An 8,335-nucleotide genomic window follows, 5' to 3' on the forward strand; every position below is an offset into this window, starting at 1 on the left:
ATCCCGTTTCCAAGATGGCCTCAGAAAAGTCCCAATATACACTTGCAGATTCTACAAAAAGAGTTTTTCAAAACTGCTCTATCAAAAGAAAGGTTAAACTCTGTGAGTTGAAGGCACACATCACAAAGTAGTTTCTGAGAATCATTCTGTCTAGTTTTTCTATGAAGATATTGCCTTTTCCACCATAGGCCTCAAACGGCGCTAAATATCCACTTGGAAATTCTACAAACAGAGAGTTACAAGACTGCTCTATCGAAAGGAAGCTTCAACTCTGCGAGTTGCAAGCACACATCCCAAAGAAGTTTATGAGAATTCTTCTGTCTAGTTTTGTATGAAGAAGTCACGTTTCAAACGAAGGCCACAAAGAGGTCCAAATATCCACTTGGAGATTCAACAAAAAGAGTTTTTCAAAACTGCTCCATCAAGAGGAATATTCAACTCTGAGAGTTGAAGGCAGGTATCACACAGTAGTTTCCGACAATACTTCTGTCTAGATTTTATGTGAAGACATTCCCTTTTGTACCACAGGCCTGAAAGCACTCTAAATATAGAATTGCAAATTCCACAAAAAGAGTGTTTAAAACCGCTCGATCCAAAGAAAGGTTAAACTCTGTAAGCTGAATGCGCACATCACAAAGTAGCTTCAGAGAACAATTGTGTCTAGTTTTTCTGTGAAGATATTTTCTCTTCTACATAGGCCTGAAACCGCTCTAAATATTCACTTGGAAATTCTACAAAACGAATATTTCAACACTCTTCTATCAAAAGGAAGGTTGAACTCTGAGAGTTAAATGCACACATCACAAAGAAGTTTCTGAGAATTCTTCTGTCAAGGTTTCTATGAAGAAATCCCGTTTCCAATGAAGGCCTCAAAAAAGTCCAAATATTTACTTGCAGATTCTACAAAAAGAGTGTTTCATAACTGGTCTATCAACAGAAAGGTTAAACTCAGTGAGTTGAACCCACACATCACAAAGTAGTTTCTGAGAATCATTCTGTCTAGTTTTCCTACGAAGATATTGCCTTTTCTACCATAGGCCTCAAACGGCGCTAAATATCCACCTGGAAATTCTACAAAAACTGAGTTTCAAAAGTGCTCTATTGAAAGGAAGCTTCAACTCTGTGAGTTGAAGGTGCACATCACAAAGAAGTTTCTGAGAATTCTTCTGTCAAGGTTTCTATGAAGAAATCCCGTTTCCAATGAAGGCCTCAAAAAAGTCCAAATATTTACTTGCAGATTCTACAAAAAGAGTGTTTCATAACTGGTCTATCAAAAGAAAGGTTAAACTCAGTGAGTTGAACCCACACATCACAAAGTAGTTTCTGAGAATCATTCTGTCTAGTTTTCCTACGAAGATATTGCCTTTTCTACCATAGGCCTCAAACGGCGCTAAATATCCACCTGGAAATTCTACAAAAACTGAGTTTCAAAAGTGCTCTATTGAAAGGAAGCTTCAACTCTGTGAGTTGAAGGTACACATCACAAAGAAGTTTCTGAGAATTCTTCTGTCTAGTTGTAAATGAAGAAATCACGTTTCAAAGGACGGCCACTAAGCGGTCCAAATATCCACTTGCAGATTCTACAAAAAGAGTGTTTCAAAACTACTCCATCAAGAGGAATGTTCAACTCTGTGCGTTCCATGCAAATATCACAAATAAGTTTCTGAAAATACTTCTGTCTAGTTTTTATGTGAAGATATTTCCTTTCCTACTGTAGGCCTCAAAACGCTCTAAATATACAGTTGCAAATTCCACAAAAAGAGTGTTTCAAAACTGCTCTATCAAAGGAAGTTTAAACTCTGTAAGCCTAATGCAAGCATCACAAAACAGCTTCGGAGAATGAATCTGCCTAGTTTTTCTGTGAAGATATTTCTTTTTCTGCCATAGACCTCACACCGCTGTAAAAATCCACTTGGAAATTCTACAAAAAGAGTATTTCAAAACTCTTCTATCGAAAGGAAGTTTCAACTCCATGAGTTAAATGCACATATCACAAATAATTTTCTGAGGATTCTTCTTTCAAGTTTTATAGGAAGAAATCCCGTTTCCAAAGATGGCCTCAGAAAAGTCCCAATATACACTTGCAGTTCTACAAAAAGAGTGTTTCATAACTGCTCTATCAAAAGAAAGGTTAAACTCTGTGAGTTGAACGCACACATCACAAAGTAGTTTCTGAGAATCATTCTGTCTAGTTTTTCTATGAAGATATTGCCTTTTCCACCATAGGCCTCAAACGGCGCTAAATATCCACTTGGAAATTCTACAAAAAGAGAGTTACAAGAGTGCTCTATCGAAAGGAAGCTTCAACTCTGCGAGTTGAAAGCACACATCACAAAGAAGTTTATGAGAATTCTCCTTTCTAGTTTTGTATGAAGAAATCACGTTTCAAACGAAGGCCACAAAGAGGTCCAAATATCCACTTGGAGATTCAACAAAAAGAGTTTTTCAAAACTGCTCCATCAAGAAGAATATTCAACTCTGAGAGTTGAAGGCAGGTATCACAAAGTAGTTTCCGACAATGCTTCTGTCTAGATTTTATGTGAAGACATTCCCTTTTGTACCACAGGCCTGAAAGCACTCTAAATATAGAATTGCAAATTCCACAAAAAGAGTGTTTAAAACCGCTCGATCCAAAGAAAGGTTAAACTCTGTAAGCTGAATGCGCACATCACAAAGTAGCTTCAGAGAACAATTGTGTCTAGTTTTTCTGTGAAGATATTTTCTCTTCTACATAGGCCTGAAACCGCTCTAAATATTCACTTGGAAATTCTACAAATAGAATATTTCAACACTCTTCTACCAAAAGGAAGGTTGAACTCTGAGAGTTAAATGCACACATCACAAAGAAGTTCCTGAGAATTCTTCTGTCAAGGTTTCTATGAAGAAATCCCGTTTCCAATGAAGGCCTCAAGAAAGTCCAAATATTTACTTGCAGATTCTATAAAAAGAGTGTTTCATAACTGGTCTATCAACAGAAAGGTTAAACTCAGTGAGTTGAACCCACACATCACAAAGTAGTTTCGGAGAATCATTCTGTCTAGTTTTCCTACGAAGATATTGCCTTTTCTACCATAGGCCTCAAACGGCGCTAAATATCCACCTGGAAATTCTACAAAAACTGAGTTTCAAAAGTGCTCTATTGAAAGGAAGCTTCAACTGTGTGAGTTGAAAGTACACATCACAAAGAAGTTTCTGAGAATTCTTCTGTCTAGTTGTAAATGAAGAAATCACGTTTCAAACGAAGGCCACAAAGAGGTCCAAATATCCACTTGCAGATTCTACAAAAAGAGTGTTTCAAAACGGCTCCATCAAGAGGAATGTTCAACTCTGTGCTTTGAATGCAAATATCGCAAATAAGTTTCTGACAATACTTCTGTCTAGTTTTTATGTGAAGATATTTCCTTTCCTACTGTAGGCCTCAAAACGCTCTAAATATACACTTGCAAATTCCACAAAAAAGTGTTTCAAAAATGGACGCGAGTGAACGCTATCTGATTTGGATAAAGGAGACATTCTTGACATCTTCACAAGATCTCTAAAGAAATCTCCTCCTCCATCCACCCCACAACTTATGCCAAGATCATTATTTGTAGCTACTGAGGTTGCCAATATAAGTAGCTCCAAGCCCTGAAGTGTGAATTTAGTGAAGAGGAGAAGTAGGAAATACAGAATATGTAATTTCCAGGGAAGAGAGGATTTCGGTAACCTATTTAGTTTAATCCCTTTACAGATAGAACATAAAAAAGACCAAATCTTTGAATTCATTAACAAATGGTGGGCTCTGTTTCTTAAGGATTTGAATCTGCATGAAGAAGCAAAGCCATTTGTCTAGCTTATCGAAAAGTTTTTACAGGAGAAAGGAGAGGGATTAGAACTGGGGGTCTCTGTCAAGGAGAGGTCAGAAAGTACCAGGTGGCTTACTGCTCTCTCACCCCTTCAATTGACTCATTATAGCTGTTATCTCCCAGCAAATGTCAGTGTTTTATTTCCTCCATGTGACATTTTTCATGAGATACAACTTTTCTCTGCCTCACATAGCAATTGGCATGCCCTTGAATCCAGAGAACTAGAGCAAAACGGATTGAGTTTGGCTAGGCAGGTCCAATCTTTAACCTGCTAAGCTACATGGAGCCAAGGATTGGGTCTTAACGGATTGATGAACAGGCTGATAATTTAGATGTGAAGGACCAGAGAGGTCTGTCACATCCCATTCTTCAAGGAAGAGATGTAAGTCAAATGAGTCAAACCAGGGAGCCTACTTGTACAACCAGGTCTGAGAATGTCATACAGGCCTAACTATGGTATAGAGCTCAAGTTCTGAAACAGGAAAATAACTGAAGCAAAGCTGGTCAGAGATGAAAATATAAAGCATCTATGCAAATTTAATTGCAGAGTCCACTGCTTTTCTTTAATTTGGCAGCAGACAATTGCATCTGACTGGCTTGAAAGAGACACTGTTTTCTAAGTCCCCTAAACCCCCATCACAAAGGCCAGTAGAAATTGTCAAATCCATGTTCTATGCAAAGTTAAAGTTCAATTTATTACCTTAAATTCTATTTTCTTTTTCCATTAAGTGCATATCACCCAGGCTGCTGGTTGTGAACAACAGAAGCTGACATTGGCTGATTAATCAAAAAGAAAAAACATATGATAATCCATAGAAGTGTTGGAGAACAAGGCCCAAGCATGAGCTTGGATATAATGCAAAAAAAACAAGATACAGCTGACTTGTTAAAGAAACAAACACCACTTCCATGGCGCCCATCAAAGACTAGGGAACCCTGTAGCCATTGCCACCACTTCATCAGCAGGTAGGTGGTTCCACCTAGAGCCTGTTTGCTCATATTGCTCTCCTATGTATCAGAGTCTTTCATGGGCTTATGTGATAACAGAATCCTCAGACACATGCTCACATTTAGCTGCAAGAAAAGCTATAAACTTAAGTTTTGACTCTACAGCAGAAATGTGGGACTCAAAAATGGAAACTTCTCCAAATATAGAAAAACTATTCAAAAGGTAATGGGCAACTTTTGGCAGAGGTGCCAAAATAATTCAGTGGGGGAAAATACTCTTCAACAAATGGTATTGAATAACTGGATATCCACATGTAAAAGAATAAGGTTGAAGCCATTTCTTATACCACACACTAAAATTAACTCCAAATGGATCACAAACCAAATGTAAGAGCTAAAACTATAAATTCTTAGAAGAAAACATAGGAGTGCATCTATGTGATTTGGGGTTAAGTAAAGCCTTCTTAGATATGGGACCAAAAGCACAAGCAACCACCAACAAAACAAAACAAAAAGATAAATAGGACTTCATCAAAATTCAAAACTTTTATGCTTCAAATGAGACTATCAAAGAAGTGAAAGACCACACACAAAATGGGAAAAAATATTTGCAAATTTGTTTTGATTGCCTCCTGTTCAGCTCATTGGTGAAAGTAGGGATTCCCACCCCAGAGTAATGGGGATGGCCCAACTTCCGCCACCAGAAAGAGGAGATCGACAGCAGTTTGTTAGTCACATGCACTCATATCTCAGGGGAGGAGGACACCACACCACACAGGGCCACACAGAGGTTTACTCAGAAACAGAGTGAATGACAGGGACTGTGGGAAGCTGACTTTGTAGTATGAAGAGGATGCAACGTCCCCTGGTTCCCATGAGAGGATGTGATTGGCTTATTGGAAAAATCCCATGGACTGGCAAGAAATTGAAACCTGCCACTCATGAATAAGCAGGAACCACATCTGGTCCATTTCATAAGCAGGGCTATTTCTAGGGGACCTTATCTATGGCAGCAGAATGGGGAGGAGAACCTGCAGTTACGCTATTCGAGGCCCTTGCGATTTTTCCAAGTGTGAAGGCAGCACATAATATTGAACCTTAATTTCACATATTATGCCACCAAATCTTGTTAGGCATATGTATCCTGCATCTATAAAAAAGACTTACAATTCAACAATAAAAATACATATAATTCAATTTTAAAACGGATAAAGGCTTGATGTAGTCCCACTTATTTATTTTTGCTTTTCTGACCTGAGCTTTTGGTATAAAATCTAAAACATCACTGCCAAGGCCAATGTCTAGGAGCTTTTCTCCTATAGTCTGTCTCTTCTAGGAGTTTCATAGTTTCAAATGTAATAAATAGCCTAAATATGACTGATGTTCAGTGGTTTGAATATTCTCAAATATCAATTTTTTTATTTAGGTCTTTTATCCATTTTGAGTTGATTTTTGCATATGGTGTAAGATGAGGATTCCATTTTTTTCTTTTCTTTTCTTTTTTTTTTTTTTTTTTTGATAGGGTCTCACTCTGTCACCCAAGCTGGAGTGTAGCACAGTGGTGCAATCACAGCTCACTACAGCCTTGAATTCCTGGGCTTAAGCGATTCTTTGGTCTCAGCCTGCCAAGTAGCTGGAACTAAGGAACGTGCTACAATGCCCAGCTAATTTTTTTTTTTTATAGATGGTGTCTCACTATGTCACCTAGTCTGTTCTTAAACCCCTGGGCTCAAGCAATTCTCCCACCTCAGCCTCCCAAAGTCTGGGATTACAGGTGTGAGTAACCATGCCCAGCCCCCAATTTTATTATTTTGCATGTGGAAATTCAACGTTCCCAGCACCATTTATTGGAAGAAATTGTCCTTTTCCCCATTGTTCTTTTTTGGTGTCTTTGTCAAAAATTAGTTGACCACATGTATTTGGGTTTGCTGCTGGGCTCTCTATTCTGTTCCACTGGTCTATGGGTCTGTTTTTATGTCAGTACCATAAAACTGTTGTGATGAGCCATAGCTTTGTAAAATATTTTAAATCAGGAAGTGTGGTGCCTCCAGTGTTTTCTTTCTCAAAATTTTTTTGGCCATTCAGGGTCTTTTACATTTCCATATAAAATTTATGATTTTTTTTTCTATTTCTGTGAAGAATGCCATTAGGATTTGGATAAGGCTTGCATTAAATCTGTAGATTACTTTGGGTAATATGGTCATTTTAATCATATTAATTCTTCTGCTCCATGAGCACAGGACATCTTTGTATTTATTTGTGTCTTCATCAATTTCTTTCAGTGCTTTAGAGTTTTCAATGTATAGATATCCTAATTCCTTGCTTAGATTTATTCCTAGGAATTTTTTATGCTATCATAAGTGGAATTGCTTTCCTGATGTCTTTTTCAGTTAGATCATTATTCATATATAAAAATGCTACTGATTTTGCTATATTCATTTTGCATCTTGCATTTTGTATCTTTACTGAATTTATTATTTTTAACACTGTTGAGAGTTTTTATCAAGAAAGAATTTTGGACTTTGTCAAAAGCTTTTTCAGTGTCAGTTGAGGTGATCATGTGGTTTTTACCTTTCATTCTGTAAATATGATGTATCACATTGACTGATATGTGTATGTTCAACCAGACTTGTATGAGCTTCTACATAATAAAAGAAACAACCAACAAAACGAAATGGCAGCTTATGGATTGGAAAAAAATATTTGCAAACCATAAATCTGATAAGGAATTAATAATCAAAATTTATAAAGAACTCATATAGTCAATACTGGAAAAAAACAAATAAGCTGATTTTAAAATGGGCAAAGGATCTGAATAGACATTTCCCCAGAGAAGACATAAAAATGGCCAAGAGGTATATGAAAAGGTGCTTAACATCACTAATCATTGGGGAATGCAAATCAAAATCACTATGAGATACCACATTACACCTGTTATGATGGTTATTGTCAAAAAGTCAAAAGATAACAAATGTTGGTGAGGTAAAGAGAAAAGGGAATTCTTACACACTGTCAGTAGGAATGTAGCTTGGTACAGCCATTATGAGAAACAATATGGAGGCAACTAAAGGAATTAAAATTAGAACTATCATCAATCCCCCTTATGGGAATATACCCAAAGCAAGTGAAATCACCACTTCATAAAGATGTCTGCACTCTCATATTTACTGCATTACTGATAACAGCCAAGATATGGAAACATTCTACATGGCCATCAATGGACAAATGTTTAAACTGTAGCAAATATATACAATGGAATATTATTCAGCCCTAAAAAGAGAATGATATATTGTCATTCATCACAACATGGATGAGCTTAAAAGAAATTATGCTAAGTGAAATAAACCAAACACAGGAAGAAAAATAATTGCATGATCTCATGTAGATGTGAAATATTTTTTAAAAATTCAAATATACAGAAATAGAAAATGAAACAGTGGTTGCCAAGGACATGTAGTGGGTAAGGAAATGGGAGATGTAGGTCAGAAAATACGAAATAGGGGGGTGGAGCCAAGATGGCCGAATAGGAACAGCTCCAGTCT

General features: G+C 37.1%; 1 annotated feature.

Annotated features, from left to right (window-relative positions):
• Positions 1 to 8,335: part of a centromere (Linear centromere model derived predominantly from reads generated in PMID: 17803354. This region does not represent an actual centromere sequence, as long-range ordering of repeats and unmapped WGS contigs is not provided by the model. For details of model production, see http://arxiv.org/abs/1307.0035.) that runs on past both edges of the window.

This window comes from Homo sapiens, chromosome 3 (assembly GCF_000001405.40).
Source record: "Homo sapiens chromosome 3, GRCh38.p14 Primary Assembly".
Lineage (NCBI taxonomy): Eukaryota > Metazoa > Chordata > Mammalia > Primates > Hominidae > Homo > Homo sapiens.